This window comes from Homo sapiens, chromosome 7 (assembly GCF_000001405.40).
Source record: "Homo sapiens chromosome 7, GRCh38.p14 Primary Assembly".
Taxonomy (NCBI): domain Eukaryota; kingdom Metazoa; phylum Chordata; class Mammalia; order Primates; family Hominidae; genus Homo; species Homo sapiens.
The window spans coordinates 154,778,693-154,802,142 of NC_000007.14; the positions used below are offsets into that span (position 1 = coordinate 154,778,693).

The 23,450-nt window shown below is 46.1% G+C and overlaps 1 protein-coding gene across 13 annotated transcripts in view, besides 1 other annotated feature; it reads left to right on the forward strand.

The window, feature by feature from the left end:
• The window catches only part of DPP6 (dipeptidyl peptidase like 6), a 1,146,153-nt gene that overhangs the window by 1,030,560 nt on the left and 92,143 nt on the right, over window positions 1-23,450 (forward strand). For 12 of the 13 annotated variants that reach the window (NR_157195.2, NR_157196.2, XM_047419951.1 and 9 more), the window contains 3 exons: window positions 15,387-15,510; window positions 17,153-17,191; window positions 22,663-22,770. Coding sequence is in view for 11 of the 13 variants with exons in the window: in XM_047419951.1 (XP_047275907.1) it covers window positions 15,387-15,510; window positions 17,153-17,191; window positions 22,663-22,770 (271 nt within the window). In the remaining 2 variants the exon portion in view is untranslated. Of the gene's footprint in view, window positions 1-15,386; window positions 15,511-17,152; window positions 18,463-22,662; window positions 22,771-23,450 lie in introns of those variants that run through there. The other variant, NM_001364501.2, reaches the window with a different exon arrangement.
• Window positions 4,343-4,844: an enhancer, noted in NCBI's record as "H3K27ac hESC enhancer chr7:154574745-154575246 (GRCh37/hg19 assembly coordinates)". NCBI's record gives its function as "activates a minimal SCP1, AML or CMV promoter by ChIP-STARR-seq in naive H9 embryonic stem cells {active_cell/tissue: H9 hESC(naive)}" and the evidence as "EXISTENCE:reporter gene assay evidence [ECO:0000049][PMID:30033119]".

Consider the following 23,450-nt stretch of genomic DNA (forward strand, 5'->3'; position numbering starts at 1 on the left):
CACCACCATCACCACCACCACCTCTGTCACCTCCACAACCTCTACAACTTCCAACACCACCTTCACCACCAGCTCCACCACCATCACCACCACCACCTCTGTCACCTCCACAACCTCTACAACTTCCAACCTTCACCACCTGTACAACCTCCACCACCACCACCTCCACAACCTTTACAACTTCCAACACTACAACCTTCACCACCATCACCACCACCACCTCTGTCACCTACACAACCTCTACAACTTCCACCACCAGCTCTACCATCACCTCCGCTACCACCATCACCTCCATCACCTCCACAACCTCCACCACCAGCACCCCACCATCACCTCCACCACCACCACCACAACTACCCCCACCATCACCACCATCACCTCCATCACCTCCACAACCTCTACCACCACCACCACCCCCACCATCACCACCACTATCACCGCTATCACCACCACCCCCACCATCATCTCCACTACCTCTACCACATCCATCACCCCCACAACTTCTACCACCACCAGGTCCACTGTCACCTCCACCACCTCCATCATCTCCACAACCTCTGCTGCCACCACCCCTATCACCACCTCCACCACCACCCCCACTACTATCACCACCACCCCCACCATCGCCTCCACCACCACCACCATCATCACTTCTACTTCCACCACCACCACTGTCAGCTCTCACTTGGTCCCTGTTGCTCTCCATTCTTAGGTCTCCTCTGCCTCCTTCCCTATCATAAACAAGCTCTCCTGCCTCACATTTACAATGTCAATAACCTGTCACATTTACAATGACCTGACTTGCCTATGGTTGCACTTTTAATTAGTAGTAGAACCAGGACTTGAGCACGAGTCTTCCGTCACCAGAGCTATTGCTCAGCATTGTTTAAGAGCTGTCACGCCTACTGTATTTCCCTTTGTGCTTGAACTTTCAGGTGGCACAAAGCTCATTTGGAGGGTTTGCTGGCAAAATCTCTGTTCTTCCTGCTTTCCTCCCTCAGGCTGTGGTCCATCTGGATGTTGGGGTTGTTCAGACATCTTCAGGTGATTCCTAAGTGTGGCCAAGGCAGAGAAGCCCTTCTCAGCAGCAGCATTTTACAAATTATAGCTATGCCCAACCCCCAGTTCCACCCCATCCCTGAGTCTGCCATCTTACCTAAACATAGTCCTAACCTCTCTTTTGTCTGGGAAGATATATTATTTTATCTGAATTTGTGTTCCAATTTTTTTTGGACGTGGTCTGGATGTAAATTACAATTTCACAAATGTGCTCTGTTCCCCTCACCTGTAGTCCTATCTCTGTTTTCACCTTGTGTGTTAAAGAAATCATCTGGCTACCTAAATACTCAAATGGATTCATCTTAGGGGGCACCAGTTCAAGGAGATTGGCTCCAGCAGACAGCTTTGTTTACAGCCTTGTGCTTTCAGAATCAGACCAGGGCAGGGTCTTTGTTATTCATTAGGGTGAGAAGCCATTCCCAGTGACTAGGGTAATGGAGAAGCTCCAGACTAGAGAAATGCCGGATCTTTACTGATGTGCTGAAAAGGAAATTCACAAAGTTCCTGTTGATCATGGGATCATTAATAAAAATGTTCAGTGCTGTAGGAGGCTGGAAATCTGAGTCACAGCTGTCAGAATAATAAGTTTCTGGTGAAGAAAGTACATTTTACATTGTCATGGCCTGTGTTTGAAAGGGCAGCTGGATTGTTCTGAAGATGCTGTAAATGCAGGGAATGATTGGTTGGTTGGCAGGCTTATAATGAGCAGGAGACATCAGAAAAATAAAATGGGATTCTGCGTCGCCATCCTCATCAATAAAACACCTTAGCCATATCTTCCAGCTAGCAAAACAGTCTTGACATCTGAAATTGTCAGTAAAACACTGAAACACTGGACAAGGTTTGCCAAGGCAGAGTCACTGGGCTGGTGAGCCAGTGCTGGTAAACTCCAAGGGTGTAAGTGACATCCGCAGTTTCTTCCCGTGGACCACAAGTAGCAAATTCAGTACATGGATTTCATGGCATCTGCAGGAAAATGAGACTTGGCAAAATTTACCTAGCATCATGTTTTTAAATGTGTTAACATGCATTGAGGCATGAGCAAATATTGAGGAAACAGGTTGAGTCCATGGGTGGGTAGGTGGGTGATGAATAGATGGATGGGTGATGGTTGGGTGGGTGGAGGGATGGATTATGAATAGATAAATGCATGATGGATGGGTAAGGGGATAGATAGATGAATAGGTGGATAGATGGATAATGAATGGATGGGTGGATGAATAGATGGATGGTTGATGGATGAGTGAATGGATGGATGATGGGTGGATGGACGGATAGATGGATGATGAATATATGGATGGGTGGATGGATGGATGATGGACAGTTGGATGAATTAATGGATAGAGGGATGATGGATGAATGGGTGGATAGATGAATGGATGGAAAAATGGTTGATGGATATATGGATGGGTGAGAGGAATGAACAGTAGATGGATGGATGGATGGATGGACAGACTGATGGACAAATAGATAGATGGGTGCTGAGTGTGTGAAAATGAATGGCTGGGAAAAGGACAACATGGCTTTACCCCCACCACTCCTATTCACTGGGTGTCTTCATGTTCACAGCATTAAATTGTTGAAAAAGGATGCCGCAGTCCCTAAGGCGCGTTCTCTGTGACCCCCTCTCACTTCGTTCTCCCTCATCCTGACAGCTGGCCCTGCATTATAGCCAGCCCTTGAGATGGAAGGGACAGGCAGCATGGTCTATTCCTACATGGAAAGTGAAATTATGGAAACAGACACCAAATAGTAATTTGTCTTAAGTCGTCACTTTTCTGTGTTGTAGAAGGCACTCTGCCGGCAGATGTTTTTATGCAACTGCATGGCTGCCCGAGAGCATACTCAAATGTGGAACTGTACACTTTAGTAGAGCAGCGCTTGGTATTTAGGGTCGTTTCAGTTTGCTCAGCGGTGCCCTCTATTAAAGCACATCATCTTTTAAAATGTCCTCTCTCATAACATTTTTGTACCCCTGCTCAATCCATGGGATAAACATTGCTAAAAAAATACCAGAGTTAACTGTGGGCCCTTTATTTCATGAGATAAACCAGCTTTGTTCCCCTCGCCCTTTACTGCCACACAACTGTCAGAACATTTGCCAGGATTTGCAACACAAAGAAGTATCACAGCACATTAATCCTTGTGACGGAGACAATGCTCTATTAATATTTTATGGCAAACAAATGGACTAATAAAAAATTGATATGCTTCTCACCAGGAAGAGTCACTATATTCTGATTTGAAGGCACCTTTGGCCTAGGACTCATGGAATGTAATAACGTTTCCTCAGCCAGGCTGTGCCATTGCATGTGCTCCCCCACGTAATCCATGGCAGTCCCCACCCTGTGCTGAAGTTAGTGGCTTGCCCATCTCTGCACCGTCCGCACCTAGAACCGTGTCTCCCACATGCCAAGCCCTGACTAGATGCGCTTGGATGCATCAGTGCATTGGTAGGCAGATATAGTGCTTTAGAATAAAGAGAAATTTGGTAGCATTTCTTCCAGCTATCTTCGCTTCCTGTTCATATTTTGGTATCATGCTCTTTTTAAAATGGAATTTTGATTATTAAAATATGACCATCTATTTTCTGTGATTATCAAAATGCTTCAATATCTCTCTTCATCTTGGCAGATAGATTATTGCGTCTTTTAGCACTCAGCTCCAGCCTTATGTTAAAAAATGATTCCACTTCAAATCCTATTTTCTCCTCTCCTTTAACTGCTACCAAATTTCTCTTTATTCTGAAGCACTTTACCTGCCTACCAATACATTTACCCATTCAAAGAATATTTAGTAAGGGCAGATTTGGAAATGGAGATCTATAGTTAAATAGCGCTTGGAGTTATTCTCATGTGGTCGCCCACTGCCAGACAGAGGATCGCTCGTCTCCAATCAGTAGTTCTCCACTCGAGCTGGCACTGGAATCACCTAGGGCCTTGTTAAGCCAGGAAGTGCTTGTCCCCACCCCCAGAGTTTCAGATTCAGAGGGTCTAGGGTGAGGCTTGGGAGTTTGCATTTCTTTTTCTTTTTTATTATTATTATTTTTTGAGACAGAGCCTCGCTCTGTCGCCCAGGTTGGAGTGCAGTGGCATGATCTCGGCTCACTGCAACCTCCGCCTCCCGGGTTCAAGCAATTCTCCTGCCTCAGCCCCCTGAATAGCTGGGATTATAGGCAACTGCCACTAGGCCTGGCTAATTTTTGTATATTTAGTAGAGACGGGGTTCCACCATGCTGGCCAGGCTGGTCTCGAACTCCCGACCTCAGGTGATCCACCCACCTCGGCCTCCCAAAGTGCTGGGACATGCGGTTCCTAACACCTTCCCAGGGGCTGCTGGTACAGGAACCACACTGTCAGAACCTGACTTGCCTCCTTAGAGATGGGGGTAGAGGCTGTTTCCACCACCTGCTTTCTCCCCTAATTGCATGGACTTTGCCTGACTTTGCCACAAAGGCCTCGCATCCCCATAGCTGTCCTGCTCTCTCTGGGTGGCCTGACCTCCCTGGGCGAGGGTGACAACACTGCCTGTGATTGCTGCGAAATCAGGACAGCTCACACAGGACGGGCAGGGTCTTCTCTCGTCTCTGCCCGTGCTTCCTTCTAGGCAGCAGTGCCTTCTGAGTACAGTCATGGTGGTGCCAATGATGTCCCTGTATGACACGAGATGTGTCACCCATGCAGACACCAACAGGTTTACAGGGAGCAGCGCGGGTCAGTGGCGTGTGGCATTATTGCGGCTCGCTGAGCAGTGGGCAGCCATTCCCGCAGCACAGGATTCTGCTCTCCCTCCACTTCCCTTTGTGAGGCATGGACGCCTCCCATCAGTCCAACCTGTTCTCATGACTGTGCCTTCTGTTGACGTTGAGTGTTCTGGCATTATAACGTTCCTGTAGAGTCTCCCTCTGATCAATGCTTCCCTTTGTCCCCTCGAGAGACAGTCTTACTCGGGGCATGGGAATTTGACAGGCATCTGCAGGTCCCACGCCTTGGGACAGAACACACATGAGTAGAAGCACTTCCTTCTCCTTGCTCTTTGTCTCAAGGAGCTCCCCGCCTGGCCAACCCAGGACTGTGAGGAAGAATGGTAAGGCCTGGACCTTGTGAGGGAGGAGGCAGGAACCAGAAGGGCTGGAAAAGGGCACAGGACAGGCTGACAAACATGGCTTTCTTGGAGGCTATCTCTTCAAGCCTCCAAGAGGAGCTTTCTTGGAGACAGCTCTTCTCTGCCCTATTTTCATCATTTTCTATAGGGGCAAAGACACCTGGGGAACTGCACAAGGAAAGGAGAGTTTTCGGCTCCAGCTTGAGCCACTGGGACTTTCCTGCTTGGAGAAGGTTGCTGCAAGGGGTCCTGTGTGTTTCATTGCCTGTGAGCCTCATGCCCAACATGGAACCTCCTGCATGGCGTGAACAGTGCACATCCAAGCTTCGACAGCAGCCTCTGGGGAGGGAATTGAGCTACAACTTGCACTGTGAACACGCCATTCTCCTGGGACAAGAGGCCCTCATAAGGAGAGAGACCTAGGACAAGAGTGAGCCAGACCTCGGCCCCAGCTGTGCGGACACTTGCCTGAGGAAAACCTTACCAAGCCCCCACCCTTCTGTAAAATTCAGAAGTCACAGAAGCTTATCCAAGCAAAGCCCGCAGAGAGCTCAGCACACCAGAGCCTTTAACACTCAAGCACAGTTTTCTGAGAAAGAAACACTTCACTGTTAAATCACAGCAACGTACTTGTTCCTTCATTTTTTTTCTAAAAGGACAGGAAAAAAATGTACACTCAGTGAGCTGATGTAGATTCTAGTTACAGGGCAGTCTGGTTTTTGCTTGGTGAGAAAGCCAGCTCAAGTATTGGTCACTGTTGAGAATATACGTGAGACCCTTACCTGTTCCGAGTTTGTGAGGTCAGCCACCACCATGCCCGTCACAATCAGGCAGGGGTGACTCTGGAGAGCTCCATCTAGGCTCCCTGAACAAAAAGAGCAAGCTCTCAGGTCTGCAGCAGATTCTGTGTGTCCTATCACCAGCTCCCTACCTCAGTCCACAGACCCGTCTAATCTGACCTTGCCACCTTCATGAAGACTTAATCATTCCCATCCCCTTATCAGATGAATGGGTGGGCATTATTAATTAAATATCCTACTGCTTCTGTGCCCTTTCCTGCCTTCTTTTCTTTGAATTAAACTTATTTCTTGAGGAGCTTGAAAAAAAATATCTTATTCTTATGAACTTGGTCTGGTTGGAAGCATCTAGAGCGGCTGTGATCAGGTGTGTGGGGAAGGACATCTCCACCGTGTACCAGTGAGAGCTAGCCAATAGGTTCAGCCTCATTCAGAGGCACTGAAATATTTCTCCATGACACCGTGGGTTTATTTATTGTTGTTGTTAAGTTTTATTTAGTTTTAACTTTGCTTTTCTTTTTTATCAAAGTATTGCATATTAGTGCTTAAAAATAAAATAATATGGAAGAGTCTATAGTGAAAAACAACAGTCTCTTCCCTCTCCTTCTAACCCATCTCACCCCCAGATGGAGATGACTTTTCACTCTTTTTACACTTTCTCCTGATATATACCATCCTATATGGTAAATCACTAAGCAAAATGCACATTTCACTGTTTTTAAATGAATTTTAGTCTTATTTATTGTCTTTTTATGATAGACAAGAATTCGGAACACTTACCTTCCTACCTATTCTACCCCCTCCATTTATATGTGGATTTTATTCTCTATGTCAGTTACCTTTTTACATTTAAATACTATTACAAGTTTGTTCATGTTACATTAACTACAGAGAGGAGCTCTTAACTTCCCAATTTGTAAACTGAGATTAGTCCCCCGCCCTTTCCTACAAGTCCCTTTCCTGTCCCTACCACACAGCAACTTCTGCATCTTTGTTTTTACTTTTACATCATTGAGGTTGATGGCATTTACACTCTGTCCTGTAATCATAACTAAACCTTCCTTACTTTTCCATTGGTTGATTCTAAAAGATTAAAATCAATAAATAGCATTTACTTTCTCATAACTAAGTGATTATCTTTCATGATAGAGCTAAGGAGTGCCCTGTGATTGCAATTCTTTTTGTTTCACTTTTTGTTTTCCTGGAGTTTTAAATTGTTTTTGTTTTTTACCTGAAATATTTAATTTTATTACATCCTCTCTCTCCTTTTTTCAAATCCTCTCAGCTATTCTGTTGCATTGCCCTTTTCCCCAAGTCTGTCTCTCTGAGTGCCCTCCATAGCCCTGGTATTGTCTGGACTACTTTTTCCAACCTCTACACTAAGGCCATCCTGGGACCTCCCCACAGTGCTCCCTCATGTTGGGGCAACTGTTTCCTAGATCTCATAGATCACGTGATTTACTCCCTCTTTTGTCTGGAGTGCATTCTCTTAATGATTTACTAAGAAAGGAGTGCAGGAAGTAAATTTTCTGAATTCTTGAATAGCTAAAAATGTCTCTTTTTTCACACATTTGAAATTTTAGCTGTATGTAGAATTGTAGTGTTTTTATTAACTCTTTATTCGTCAAAGCTAGAGGGTATAGCTCCATTGTTTCCAGCATTTTGAGATGCTAAAGATAAACCTCATGTTGGTCTGTGATATGGTTTGGCTATGTCCCCACCCAAATCTCATCTTGAATTGTAGTTTCCATAATCCCCAAGTGTCGTGGGAGGGACTTTGTGGGAGGTAATTGAATCATGGGGGCAGTTACTCCCATGCTGTTCTCTTGATAGTGAATGAGTGCTCATTTGATCTGATGGTTTTATAAGGGGCTTTTTCCCCTTTGCTGGGCACTTCTCCTTGCCACCATATGAAGAAGGATGGGTTTGCTTTCCCTTCCACCATGATTGTAAGTTTCCTGAGGCCTCTGCAGCCCTGCAGAACTGTGAGTCAATTAAATTTCTTTCCTTTATAAATTACCCAGTCTCAGGCAGTTCTTTACAGCAGTGTGAGAATAGACTTCTGATAATTGTTCCTCTGCAAATCACCTTTTTTCTTTCCAAAAGCTTTTTGAATTTTGAAATAATATATCTATGTGTGTGTTTTCTTTTCACTTATCACCGTTTCATCCATATACTTTCAATCGTTCCTCCTGTTTGAACTGCATTTCTGAGTCTCATACGATGCTTTACCTGGAGCTCTGAGTCCCCATGATTCTCTCTGAGGTTTCAGCTCTGCAAGTGTCCAGGTTGCTGTGCCCTCCAGCCTGACTCATCCCTCATGACCCTTCTATCTACTTTCTGTCTTCCAGAAACATGAAATCTCTCAGCCCTCCCCTGTTGTCTTTATTATTGTACATATATTTTATTTCTTTATTATCATTGCAATTAGGTTTCTGGAGGGAAAACAAACTAATGTGATAAATCTACTAACTTAAGTTGGAGACTTCCAGTGTTTTCTTAATAACCATCTTCTTGTTTAAAAAGTAACCTATGCAGTATGGAAAATAATAATCCCTTGTCATTGCACATCACACTACCCGTAGGTAACTACTGTGAGAAATTTGATAAATTATCCTTTGAGATTTCTTTTCTGGAAATGTATATTTGTTCTTCATTTATTTGGGTTTTTTTAAAAAAATGATTAAGCCATTTTCCCAACACCATCGATTGTGGAAGTCTTCCTTTCCCTACTGATTTGGAATGACATCTTTATTAAATGTAAAATTATCATACAAACCAGTGTGCATTAAAGGTGCCTGTCCACTACTGATGGTTGCCTCAGTCAGATGTCAGGTGGTTCCAGAAATACGCTTATTATTAGCAACTTTAAAAAATAAATCCCCTGTCCCTATGCTTCCTTTTTAAAACCACCTATCTATTTCTTCTTATATGCGAACTTCAGAATTATTTTATTTGACTCTCTACTGAAAAGAAATTCATTGGTTTGCTATTAAAATTAAATTCATTTCTTTAACCAATATTAAGTATTTACCATGTGTGAAGCCCTATGTAAGGTGCTAAAAAATGTACAAATGAATAAGGTGGGTATGGTCTCTGCCATTATGAAGGTTAAATATAATAAATTCAGTTCTTTCCAAACTGATCACCATTTTGAAAACTTTACCATGTCTTTTCTCTTATTCCAGAAACATAGGTGTTTCTATTCCTTTTTTCTAAATAATATCCTTCCATTTCATCATGTGTAATGCTGCTATGTTTTGTTTTTAGCCTTCTTTTTGCAATTTACTAAATGCTTATGATCCTACAAACTATTTGCCCAGTATTTCTTTATATTATTTTTATCACTTAATTTGAATTTATCATCAAATTGATAGTAGTTTAGAACTAGCTATGGATGAACTGATTTTAGAGATTACTTTTTTTTACATGTTGAGTTTTTAATTTTGAGCCATTAATTTTGAGTTGCCTTCATAAGTCAGTGTAGAATATATTCAAGTAAAAGATAAGGCCGGGCACAGTGGCTCACCCCTGTAATCCCAGCACTTTGGGAGGCTGAGGCTGGCGGATCAGTTGAAGTCAGGAGTTTGAGGCCAACTTGGCCAACAAGGCGAAACCCCCTCTCTACTAAAAATACAAAAATAAGCCGGGCGTGGTGGCGCACACCTGTAATCTCAGCTATTCGGGAGACTGAGGCAGGACAATCGCTTGAACCCAGGAAGTGGAGGTTGCAGTGAGCTGAGATCGTGCCACTGCACTCTAGCCTGGGTGACAGAGTGAGACTCTGCCTCAAAAAAAAAAAAAAAGTAGAAGATACACTTTAATACAAAAATATATTGGTTGTTAAAAAAACACATTGAAATATTAAACATTAAGTATTAGCAATAGACAGAAAGGAGGAGAAGCTTCAGATCAGCCTAAATTTTGATCCTTTGTCAAAACTTATTTCCTTATTACTAGATTATTGTGGAATTTCGGTTTTCCCATAACTCAAAGGTTCTAGCACAACATATTTAGATGTTTCATTATTTTCCCTGGAATGTGGGAAATCCCTTTTAGTCTTCACATTCGGGTCTTTTTTCCTACACAGAAGTTTCGTCCTCTTTGTCTTTGGTTATCGTGTCTGTAGCCACTCTGGTTTCTCTGTAGAAGCACTGCTCTTCCCAGCCGGTAGGAAGGCTCATCTTCTTCTTTACACCTCCATGTCACCTTCCTCTGCCTTGTGGGAGAACCTCCCACATTTTCCTCAATTTTCCTGACCCAAATTTTTCTAATTTTAGTTTTAGTTTCCTTGCAGCCCCCTCATCTCCCTTTTTGATCTTATCTTGGACTTTTAGAATTCTGTTCTCTTTATTTTTAGTGTGACTTCCCTTTCCTTTATTCTGCACCATTTGACCCTCACAGTTCCGCACCTCAGGAAGGAGAATGCCTCCCACACCTGATACCTGGCCACAGACAAAGGGTGAGAGTCACCTTTGACTCTGTGTTCTGACTTTTTAGGTGCTACTGAGCTCTTCTCCGGTGTAAATCTGGAAGACAGTCTAACCCATGTGCATCTGGCATGGATCGTCTGGGCTGAGTTGACATTTTTTTTTCTACCTTCTTAAGAATTTTTCTTTGACATTCTATGTAAATTAGTACACATGGAAAATTACAATCTTCCTTAACACCCATTTAGCAAAGGTTTGACTTTCCAAATCTGTGGCTGGTGTGAGCCCAGCATTTCTGAGGGAAGAATAGTACAGTGGGGAAGAGAAAAACCTTTTCCTTCTGCGTTCTCATGGCTGGGGCTGCCCTGTTCCCTACAGGGAAGAAACTGGGCAAGACCTTGTCTGGTTTCACCAGTGCCATCTGTGTTGCAGTTAGAGATTTTCAACATTCATTTCTAATGGCATTGTGACTTTTCATCATTTCTGTGTGTCTCTTTAGACATGATAACACAAAGTTAGTAAAGGTCTCCCTCTGCCGGCCAGGCACCACTGCTTGCTGGAGACCTCTGTCTGGAGAGTCCACACTCGATGTGGTGTATGGTGTGCTGTTTGTGAGCAAGTAAATGTTTTATTTTCCCTTCCAGCAGCAAAAGTGTGACTACAAACCTTATAGAGCAAAAGAATGTCCCTTTGTCCAAAGCGTCGCTGCCTCGCAAGGTGCCTACCTTGTCCCCAGAAAGCTGCTAGAACGCCTTCAAGATTGCCCTGTTGGTGGTGATGCTTCACCCTCGTACACCGACTTGATTTTTAGAAAATAACTAAAATGTATTTGGGGCCAGGCACAGTGGTTCATGCTTGTCATCCCAGCACTTTGGGAGGCCAAGGCAGGTGGATCACTTGAGGCCAGGAGTTCAAGACCAGCCTGGGTAACATGGTGAAACCCCGTCTCTACTAAAAATACAAAAATTAGCCGGGCATGGTAGCAGGCACCTGTAATCCCAGCTATTTGGTAGGCGGAGGCATGAGAATCACTTGAACCCAGGAGGCGGAGGTTGCAGTGAGCTGAGATCACACCACTGCACTCCAGCCTGGGCAACAGAGCGAGACTCCGTCTAAAAAACATAAAAAATCAAGTGTATTTGGCACCAGGTATAGTCACTGATGCAACTCATGGACTTAGGAAATGTTGACTAGAGATGAGATGTTGCTATGCGGGTCATGAGGCAACATCAAGCTCTCAGGGCAAGTCGGCACAAGGGGCCCAAAAGCTTTATGATAAATGGCAACAGGATTAGAAGAGGCAAAGAACTGCCCAAAATGTGAGAATCACGGCTTCCTTACATAGAGGTGGAGCCCTTATGGATGCATGTATGTAAAAAGAAATCTTATTATATAATCTTTATAAATTCCATTAATAGTGTTTATTGTTTTGGGTTTTTAAAAATATTTCACACTGTATTTCATCACCATAACATCTCTAAGGGTGCCACCAGGCTTTAAAAATTCATATTACACAAATGAAGAAACTGAGGGTTGAAGCACCGTATAGAATTAATTGTAGAACCAAGGCTTTCTCAGGCCTCTGAGGTGAGCCACATTCTGCCCCTCAACCCAGGGATGAGCCACGAGGCAGAGTGGGTCCACATTTAACTGTCCTAATTTTTAGTACAATTATATTTTTCCTCAGTGCAACAGCCTCATATTACAAACTAAGAGAAGGGAGGAAAGGAGGGAGGGAGGGAGGGAGAGGAAAGGAAGGAGGGAGGGAGGGGAGGGGAGGGAGGGAGGGAAAAAAGAGATGATCTAGCACTCACTTTATGTAACTGGTCATTTTACTTGGGGCTCTGTATTAGTCAGTTCTCACACTGCTAATAAACACATACTTGAGGCTGGGCACGGTGGTCCATGCCTGTAGTCCCAGCACTTTGGGAGGCCGAGGCTGGCAGATTACTTGAGGTCAGGAACTTGAGACCAGCCTGGCCAACATGGTGAAACCCCATCTCTACTAAAAACACAAAAATTAGCCAGGCATGGTGGCAGACATCTGTAATCCCAACTACTTGGGAGGCTGAGGCATGAGAATCGCTTGAACCTGGGAGGTACAGGTTGCAGTGAGCCAAGATATTGTGCCACTGCACTCCAGCCTGGGGAATAGAGTGAGACTCTGTCTCAAAAAAATAAAAATAAAAATAAATAAATAAAATAAAGACCTACCTGAGACTGGGTAATTTAGAAAGAGAGAGGTTTCATAGACTCAGTTCTACATGGCTGGGGAGGCCTCACAATCATGGTGGAAGACGAAAGAAGGGCAAAGGGGTGTCTTACCTGGTGGCAGGCAAGAGAGCGTGTGCAGGGAGACTGCCATTTATAAAACCATCAGATCTCGTGAGAACTTATTCCCTACCATGGGAACAGCATGGGGGAAACCACCCGCATGATTCAATTGTCTACACCTGGCCCCGCCCTTGACATGTGGGGATTATTACAATTCAAGGTGAGATTTGCCGGGGGGACATGGCCAAACCATATCAGGCTCTGAGTAAAGAAACAGTGTGGTGGCTACTTCTAGAAAATAACAAACCACACCAGAGTAACACATCCTTGCCTCCTTCTAAAGCCATGAAGCAGGCTTGTCCCTGTGTGTCCACGTTTTGTGGCCAAGAGCTTTAAGCAGGAACAGTACTGTGACTCCGCGGGCCATGTCACTGCTGTTGATGCTGCACACCCCAGCCCCCTGGTTCCATCCAGTGGCACTCAGCCTAGTGACATTTCCAGCACGATTTGTTCTGGAGGCATCAAGAGAAAGTTTGCATCCATCTCATTTTCATTTATAACATTTCACTTCCAAATTAAGAAATAGAAAAACTAAGAATAGTGTGTAGTCATATTTGGCCTAGATGAAGATTATTTGTACAAAAGAACACTATAAAAAGCAGAAAGAAGCATAGGATGAATGAATGTTTCCAACAATTGAGAACAAAAGCAGCATTCTTCCTAATTAGCATGAAGGACATAGAGGGAAAAAATAGTCATTCCGGGAGACCTTACATTTTCTTTCTTGATTGCATGCAGACGAAATGTGTTTGCTGAGAGAGTAAGTGCAGGGTACCCTGTGGCTTCGCCACTGCCCCCATTGTGGACATGGAATCTTGCAACCACAGGCCCCATGTGGCTCTCACACACGTCCCATGGTAGGGAATAAGTTCTCATGAGATCTGATGGTTTTATAAATGGCAGTTTCCCTGCACACGCTTCAGCGTCCTCCAGTGTGGACTCAAAGACCAGTTACAACATCATTAAAAAATAAAAGTGTTCTATGTAAAGCAAGGGCTAGGCAGAGACGTTGAATTATATTTAAGGACAAAAGTGACATATATTTTTTTCTTATGATTGTAAATAATGACCAAATCCCATCATTATAAATGCCTGTCCCTGCCTTTGGGCCATGAAACAGCAAAGCAGGACCTTTGTAGAATGTTGCTGGCAGGATGTGCCACCTGTCAGTGCCAGGGCCAGGATGGAGAGCAGGGGGGAGGGCATGGTCCCTGTGGACATGCAAGCCAGGTTCTGGGGCAGGCCAGGCTCTAGGACGGGCCAGTATGGGGAGCAGATGGTGGGAAGAAAAGCAACCATGTTTCAGACATCACAGAAATGGAGCAGGTTGAAAGGCACGAGAGCTGGATTACAGCTGAGCGCCCCTCCTGTGTTCACGGGTTATGTACCTCCTCACCACCCCAGTCCTCAGGAACTCCCCATGACCACAGTGGGCAGCTGCAGACCTCCCCTCCTGGCCATGCGCCAGCAGCCGCCTGTCTTAGGCCCTCACCTGCTTGCCGCTGTTCCTTCTGTTTGCCACATGGTCCTGATTTAGGTCAAGTTATTAAGAACCTTGATTAACAAGTTTTAATTGTGGGAAATGGGGGAGATGTGGCACTGGAATCTCCTGGTTAACTGAGGCTCCAGCCAAGGCATCTGGCTATAGTCGTTTCTGTTAAAATAATTATTAAGTGTAGTGAGGTCGCTCTCTGGCTCGCCAGGAATTGTCTAGTGAATGTACTGCTGTCTTTAGTGATAAAAGATCTTGTAAGACCACAAAGTAATCATTCTGAACAGTAGATCTCATTATAGATAGAGAAGGGGTGAATGATTGAACGCGCATTAGCTGGCTTCTAGAACATTCTGGGATTCACCTGGGGATGGTCTTTTTGGGGCATTAATTTTCTCAACACTTTCTTCTTCCTCTTAAATGTAAAATTGTATTTTTTTAATCTGGTTTTTGGAGGGCTCTGGGTGACTGGATGAATTCCCAGAAGCCCCGGTACCCCTCGGGCTAAGTAGAGAGCCGCACAGAGCCTGTGGTAGTTTCAGGTTTGGGCAGAATCAGGCGCATGACCCTTAAGATATCAAACCAAGTTCGCCTGAAGCCCAGAGCCATGAACCAATTTCCCTAATTAGCTAGAGAGTGTCCCTGGGTATTTTATCTTTAAGGAGGAGGAATTAGAGAATGGAGCCTTCAACAGCCCAGGCTGGGATGCTTCTCACCCTGTGTCGCTCTCTGGGGCCTCCCGCCAGCCCTTTTCCGGTTCTTTCTCTGTCCCGCCTCCCCGGACCCCTCGCTGCCCGGTCAGGTGGTTAGTTGTGCGTTTGCCTGGTACTGCGGTGTGAAAGTCAAGGCATCAGCTGGAGAGACGAGACCTCAAAACCCACGGAGCAGCCCCCACACCCCTCACCCCCAGGGCAGCCACACGCAGTGACATGCAACTCCCAGTGTCTTTGGGTTTATTTAGCAAGAGGTAATGACTGGGCGGCCCCTCAGAGTCCCGCGCCAGTGCAGATTCTTTATAAGCCAGATTTCAGAAGCTCGCAGGCTGGCTGTGTCACCACTGGCTCCGGCCCCCGGCTCCCGTGTCGTGTCCAGGGCTGGGGTCGGCGGTCCCCTGGCTTCTGTCGTGCGGGGGTCCTGCCAAGCTGCTCATGCTGTGTTTGGCGTTTCCAGGGAGTACTACATCACCATGGTGAAGTGGGCCACCAGCACCAAGGTCGCCGTGACCTGGCTGAACCGGGCGCAGAACGTGTCCATCCTCACCCTCTGCGACGCCACCACGGGGGTCTGCACGAAGGTACGCGGGGCTGTGGGGGTGGAGGGGAGACGGGTGAAGAACCGATGGTCAGACGCGCCCGAGGTGGCGCCAGAGTCGTCTCAGCCCTCGGGCCTGGGACTTGGGGACCGGCCGCCCAGCTGCTGCGGGGAGCCCGCGGCGCAGAGTCCCGGCTCCGGCGTGGCTGCCACCTCGTGGCTGGTGCAGGCGCTGCCGCAGACCCGACCGAACCCATCCGTGAATTGCCAGAGGCGCCCCGTGCCTGGCACCTGGACGCCGTCCGCAGTTCACTGAGTGTTGCTTCCCTTTATCCGCGCTCACCGCTGTGACCTAAGTGAGCGTCCTCCTCGTTGCAGCTGATGCTCAGAGAGGAGGGGCCCTGCCTTTCCCCAGACCCCGCCGACAGCCTCCCCCAGCGGGCTCCAGGCGTGCGTCCCTCCCCACGTCCTGGTGAGGCCAGCCATGTTTCTAGGAGTCTCAGGCCGACTCAGTGTGTAGTGAGAGAAGGTAAACGTAGGGGAAAGAAAATTAAAATGCTCAAAGAGTGAGCAAAGGAAAAATGAAGTGTAAGAGAGGTTGCCCGGGTGGAGCAGGCAGGCGGCCCACGGCCTCACCCTCGCCCCATGGGATGGGCCCCCAGAAGCAGGTCACCTTGTGGCGGGTTTTGTAGACATCAAATAATATCGATTAATACATTCAGGCAGGCCTTTCAGAAACTCCTTTTTGATCTTAAGTTTCTGTCTCCTGGCTGAGGGGGGCCAAGGCTTGCAGGCATATTTACTTGAGAGGCTCCTAACACGACAGCTGTGCCTGAGATCCTAAGCACAGTGATTGTTTCTAAGGTGGTCAGTCTTGCCTGACCTTTTATCTAACCTGGGGCGGATTCCAGGCTATTCTGATGAGCTTGCTTGAGGGGAAGGAAGGAACGTGAGGACACAAAGCAGGCAGCTAAAAATGGCTTGTAATCTCCAACTTCTCCATGCCCCTGAGCCTTGAGTGTCAGTGGCAAACACTGCTTCCTGCTATAACCCATGACAGAGGCCTGCTCCAGGGGCCCGGAGGTCCAGTCTGCACCAGCACCAGGCCCACAGCGCCTCCAGGTGACACATGTGTGCTGCACAGCTTGAGTTTGGTGTCTGGAGTTTTGTTTTTCTTTTGTTTGCACCTTTCCATAGACCACTGTGAGACCCACTTTTCCTCTATGCTTTAGCCCCTTTGAAAGGGTTTCTGGTCCACCAGGAGTGTTACTCAGTATTCCAGAATGGGATCTGGACACAATGTCCAATGTTCTGACTCAGTGTAGGCTGAGGTTCACTATTAGATGGACACATGCCCGGGCAGTGATGACCGCCCCCTGGTACACGTGCCATCTTCCCCCAGAGGGTTCTTTTCCACCACGGGTTTGTCCTTGTTGCTAGGGATAGTGGCATTTTCTAATTCGAGGACGCTTGTGTTTGGCTCCGAGCCACGCACGAGACAAAGAGGAGAGCTCGGGATTGCCTCCTCCCAGAGCTGCCGTGGCAGCTGTGCAATGCTTGTGCAGCGGCCATGTAGGTGAAGCCAAATTGTTTCCTGCACTGTCGGTCACAGACACAATACATGCAAAAAAAAAAAAGAAAAGAAAAGAAAAACCCTCTTGTCTAATGCTCTCATTTCATTTCAGAAACACGAGGATGAAAGTGAGGCCTGGCTCCACAGACAGGTAACTACTGCATGTCCGGGTCCCCACTGTCACCTCCACCTGATCCACCCCAGGGCTGGCCCTCAGAGCTTCGACAACAGCAGAATGGCTTCTCAGAGTAAATCACACAGGGCTCCCCAGGCAGAAACAGACGGCGTGCCGGCTCCACTCACGGTGCCTCCCGTTCTCCAGGGTTGCCCAGAGAGCTCCAGGAGAATCCAAGTTCCAGGGAGGGTCGTGTGAAAATCACGGCTCTTCAGAGCGTGGAATGTTTGGTGAGACCTCAGCTTGCAGTTAGATGCCAGCACCTTGCTGAATTGAAAATGAACAGTCCATCAAAGGTGGCTTAACATAATCTACTATAGTAAAAGGGTGGAAAAGTGGTGGATATCCCTGTTTGTTGCCAGGGGTGGTTTTGTTGGTGTCTCATTTGGAGTCACCTCCTCTGTGATTCCGTAAGACCCGTCCTCAGGGACATAACTGCAAACCATCCCTGGAGAGTCTTCATCCCTAACTCAGATAAAGGAACACACATTAAAACAGACTCTAGGAACTTGAGACCAAAAGAGATCAGGAGAAGCCCAGGTAAATCATTCTGAGACAATTTTTTCTAAATTAAACTTGCACAAAAAGTATCAGTATTTTCTTTCTTCAAGCCTTTTTGTCTCATTCCACACTCTGACACTAAGAAGAACAGGTGAAAAAGCTTTGGAAGCTTCCTGTCTCCTTATCCTTCCTAAGGGGATGAAAATTGTCTTAAAGACTCTGGAAAAAGTCAAGCCAGACTTCAGTCTCATGAATTATGGTAGAGACACAGGTATGCTTCTTCATCGATATGGTGGATCCTATTTATGGAAAATAACTGAAGCTGGACAAAACTATCGCCATGGCTCTCCAAGAACATTCCAGCACTATAGATGCTGGGCTGCTGCTTCTGCCTGTGGAGTCAGGAATATAATTATCTCAGAAGTCAGAGCCTCATCAACAGACGGGCTGCTCCGAAATGTATCCTGTTTCTGCTCTGTGTCAATCTTATTCACAAGAGGAATGGTTCCACATGGCCACTTTCATTTTACATGTCCCAATTTGGGTGCCAAGTCCAAGCCAAGAAGATATCGGGAAGAGGGAAGACTTAGGGAACCCTCAAACATTAGCATGCTGGAAAGTTCTTGAATGCCACCTGGACCAAACATATAAGCATATAAGCATACATATCAAAAATAGTATTGTGATGTTCATCTCACATTAGACAAATTGTCAGAGAGATTACAATAAAAGGAACATTTTGTAAACTCCGTTATCTATATATCATGTGTTCAACCAATATTTATGGATCTTACCAGGCACCATGCTAGGCTGTGGATTTCAAAAAATGAGTCGGCTACTATCACTGAGCACACATTGTGGTGTGTGTCAGAATTTTATTCCTTCTTATGGCTGAATAATATTCCAGAATATGTATGTAGTATATATCCTGGAATATTATACATATGTATGTGTGTGTGTTATATGTATATATACATATATATACAATATAATACATATACTGGAATATTATTCAGCCGTAAGAAGAACTGAAATAGTATTCCAGTATATTCCAGTTTGTTTGTCTGTTGATGGACATTTGGGTTCTGTCTACCTTTTGGCTGTTGTGAAAAGCACATCTAATAACAGATACAAAAGGCTACCTTATTGTACAATTCCATCTATATAAAATATCCAGAATAAATAAACTCATAGACACAGAAAGCTGATCAGTGGTGTCCCAAGGCCGGGGGAGTATGGAGAGGAACAGCTTAATGAACAGGGGTTTATTTTGGGGTGGTGGAAATGTTTTGGAACTAGATAGAGGTGGCTGCACGTCATTGTGAATGGACTAAATGCCACTCAATTGTTCACTTTTATTAGTACGTTTTCTTTTGTGTTATGGGAATTTTACCTCAACGATTTTTTAAAAAATTAATAAGCTAGAGCATGAGCTCTTAAAGATGGTACATCCTAGACAGGGAGATGAGATGTTCACGTTACATCCATTGTGCAGGCTACGAGGGTGATCCTCAGACATTCAGAAGCATTGCTGAAGTATTCGGGTGTTGGTGGGAGTGGGAGCCAGAAAAAGCGTGGTGGACATGGAGCAGGAGGCCCTATGCCAGGCCCACTTTGTGTTTGAACAGGAGGAGGTGAGGGACGTGATTCTTTGTTGGGGGCAGGGAGGCTATGGGAAAGCAAGGTGGACATGCACACTCTGCTTCCCTGTCCCCCTCAAGAGGCATTCTCACAGGGGGAGCTGGCTTCCCAGCTGGCCACCTGCAGTTCTGCCCTCTGGATGGACGGCAGAGTGCATGGTCCCTGGAGGCCCATGGGGGGCCGTGGTTCTGTCCTCCAGCGCTCACTTCATTAGCTCTACAGAGTAGCTACAGAGCCGAGGTCGTCAGCAGGACTTTCCTGTATTAGCGATTGTGTGTCTCATCGCCCATATGAGAACAGCTACTAAAGTGTGGGGTAAGACAGCCTGAATGGGATTCCAGAAACCAGATCCTTCCAAGCAGAATCCAGTCAACACTTAAAAGGTGGCATGAATTAAAATAATTCTTACTGTTTTCAAATGTAAAGTTTAAAGCATTTACTAAGCACACAGCTAAATTTTTAAAATAGCTGCTTAAACGTATGCAATGCTGCCATGAGTTGGAAACATAAGGTTCTGTGACAGGTGTGTTTTCCTGGGATGGAGCGTCCCTGGGTCAGGTCAGCCCATCAGCTGCAGTTGTGATTGTGACACTGGGTTGGGGCATCCCGCCCATGGCAGCAGTTGGGAGGCCAGGATGTCTCTGAAGACCCTACAGGTTGTGAGTCTGCACCTGTGAAGATTGCAGCTCCATGGTCTGCAGGAAGATTTAATTTCAAACAGTTTCTTATGACATTGTTTTTTTCGTAAAGGAATTCATGGACCCTATTTTTCAAAAACAATCTGTAGTGTTTCTGCATCCCTCGAGTTACTGTGATATCCTGGAGAACAACTTAGTAACTTTTTAAGACTGAACCTGCCACCTGCTGCCAGCGAAGCCATTGGCTGCTGCTTCAGACAGAGCCTAAGGGGGTTTTCCTGGGAGGGCTGCAGGCATGAGTGAGGGAGACACATGGAGGCCACATGCCCTCTACCCATCCATCTCCAATGGGTCACAGAAGCTTGCCCCAGCTGGCCCAGGAGAAACTGGCATCTGGAAGGTCCTGCAGACCTCAGGGAGACCCGGCCTGCTTAGGTCCACCGATCTTCCAAGGACCCGGTGCAAGAACAGAGGTGAGTTGTAGCGAGCCTGCTAATTTTGTGTCATCTGAGCTGTTCATCTGAGCCGTTCATCCTCCTCTCTTCTCTTCCCAACTCCTTCCTGGAATCCTCAGTACGGTCACCCGCAGAGATTCCCCATGAGCCAAACAGAAGAGGAAAATGCATGTGTGGAGACCCACCAAGTTCCCTCTCCTCTAGGAATATTCCAGAGAAGCAGGCAATCCCCCCTGCCACATACACACCCTGTCACTGCTGCGCTGACCCTGCAGAGTCAGTCCTGATGCAGACCCATGAGGATCCTCTGCCAGAACCATCTGCATTTGCCATAGAACCCCAGAGCCTATTGTTTTGGTTGAAGGATCGGTTCCATGGATCCATTTCTGACTGTCTTTATTCTTTTATCGGAATTTTGGTTTTGTGATTTCAAAATTTGGGCTGGAAGGGGGGTTGGACAAAATTATTATATCTGAACCATGGGAAAAAAACACTGGCAAAAATGCTACAAATAACTCACAAAGAAGCTCTCATGAGTCAAAAGGGCTCCTTCTTCACAGATCTGCTGAGTGGAGTTGAGGAAACCAGGCATTGTGTGTGATAAATTCTGTTATCCAGAGAGACTAGAAACGCTTCCCCCAAAATCAAATGAGAGACAGAACCAGGATAAAATCCAGGTCCCCTGGTCAACAATCATTGCACTTTGTCACTAAAAATACATTTACCACATGAGAAACCGGGTCTCAGAGAGACTCAGAGGCTTCACCTGTGTTCCGAGGAATGTTTCCCTGACAAGGTAGAGATGACATCACAACGGTGGAGGCCTTCTTATTATAAAAACAATGCTTCTGGCCAGAATTAATTATTTATTACATTTATTTAGAGTATCTTTGTCTGCCAAACGTGCAAACATTTCCCCCAGAAAACTGAAGGAATATAGCGCTACCCGCCGCACAGTTGGCAAATAGAAGTGCATTTTAAAAGCCAAATTAACCGCTGGTTTTTCCATTTCCTCTGCTTTTAAATACCATGCTTCCAACTCTAAATAGGAAAATAAATGTTTGCAGATTAAAGGTTCCATTTTATTGCAAATATTCATGAAGATTAAATGTCATTTTAATCACATGTTAGTTTATTTCTCTGGGCATATCATATCTGCATGGGTTCACTCACTGTAGGGAAATGAGTTTTGCTTGTGCCAGCTGGGGTTTATTTACCATTAGTTCTCATCCCCGCATTCGTGTGAAGCTCCTTGAGTCAGAAAATACATCTCGCAACCAACTAATTGGTGTTCACGGATGGAAACTTTCAAACTTGGGCTTCAGAGAGGCCAAGGTACCGCGGTAGCAAAATCCTTTTTCGCCCATCAAAGCAACAGCCACCCTGTGGGCTGGTGGAAGGCTGAGGCCGCTGGCTGTTCACTGTCCGGGGACCAGGCAGAGATGGTGGCGACACCTGCCCTAAATCCAGCCTGGAACCCTTCCCCCAGGGAAAACTGGGCATGCTGATTCTGTTTCCAGGGAAAAGAGACAGTAGATCCAAGCAAGTGTTGTCATCCAGTGTGGCCCGAGGTGGAGCGTGTCCCTGGGACTGCTGTCCCCTCCCACCTGTGTTTTAGAACCCGTGGCATTTGTCCTTGTGTTTATTTTCTTTTTTTCTTGCCTTCTTGATGGGCTATTCAGTGTGAGATCAATTGTATTCAATAAGAAGAAAAGACAGGATTGAAAGAATAGATTTTGCTTTTAGGCAAAATCTGGTTTGGGATTGTTGAGAATTATGTTTTTTTCTGATATATAATAAATGCCACTGGAGAAATCTCACAATACACTCTGGTTTCAATGGGCAATAATTCAAGGAGGAAGCACCTCCTTTTGAGTTTTGAGAGCAGAGTTCCTGTTCTCACTGGTGAGCTTGGCGTGCACATGGGGCTGGGCTTTGTCTCGGTGCTGTGTAGACTGAGGGATGCCTTTTTATTTGCCACTGCCGGGGCTGTAGCCTCTTAATTCCTCCATCTTCTTCTTTTAGAAAACGTAACAGTTGACTCATGATTCCCGAGGAAAGTGACGGCCTCATCAAGCACTTATTATTTCAACTGTTCCTCTCCTTAGAAATCACATAGAAAATGTATCTCGGGGTGTATTTTATCCTGGTTCAACCTCTTCAGAATAAATGATGTTTTAGTTGTGGTTTCATCCGTGGCCTTTGTCCACAGAATGAAGAACCTGTGTTCTCCAAGGATGGCCGAAAGTTTTTCTTCATCAGAGCCATCCCCCAGGGAGGACGAGGGAAATTCTATCACATCACGGTGTCCTCGTCCCAGGTAAGTCCTGCTAGTTTCCGGAGCTGAACTAGAAACTGGCCTGCTAGAGGCCGTGGGGTGACAGCCTCTAGGGCTGGGCACACTTGCGTTTTCGAGGACCCCAAGGAATCTGAAGGTGGTTCCCGAAGGCAGGGCAGGGCATGGCGCTGGTGAGTGCAGAGGTTCCCATCAGGCCTGGTGGAACCTTGCTCTATCTGGTCACGTGCGAGAATGTGAATGACGCTTCTGCCAAGGTCAGCAGAGACCCTGGGGTCCCCTGTTCAGTGTAAGGCCAAGGATGTTGGAGGACTGTCTGTGCCGGGGGCCCTTTCCTTCTCCCTCTGCTGAGGGTCTCCTTAACATACTCCCCGCTGAGGCATGGCTCCATGCACTCAACATCCCTCAGGGGTCCAGCCTCCCATGCTGCCCTACCTCCACCCGGAGTTGGATGCAGGTATTATTTTATTATGTGACCGCTACCAGCCATCACTCACTGGTTCTGGGGTCTGGCGAGTTCGGAATGGAGCATCCCTGAGTAGGGAATCTCAGAGATTAATATACGTGAATCTAGGATCAAAAGTAGACATCTCGGGGTCACCATCTCCTGAAGAGGTCACCTCAGGGAGCCTCACGCCTGCAGGACGGGGCTGCCATGGTGTTGACTTTGGGGGACTCTGCCCTGAGGAAGAAGGGAAGCATGA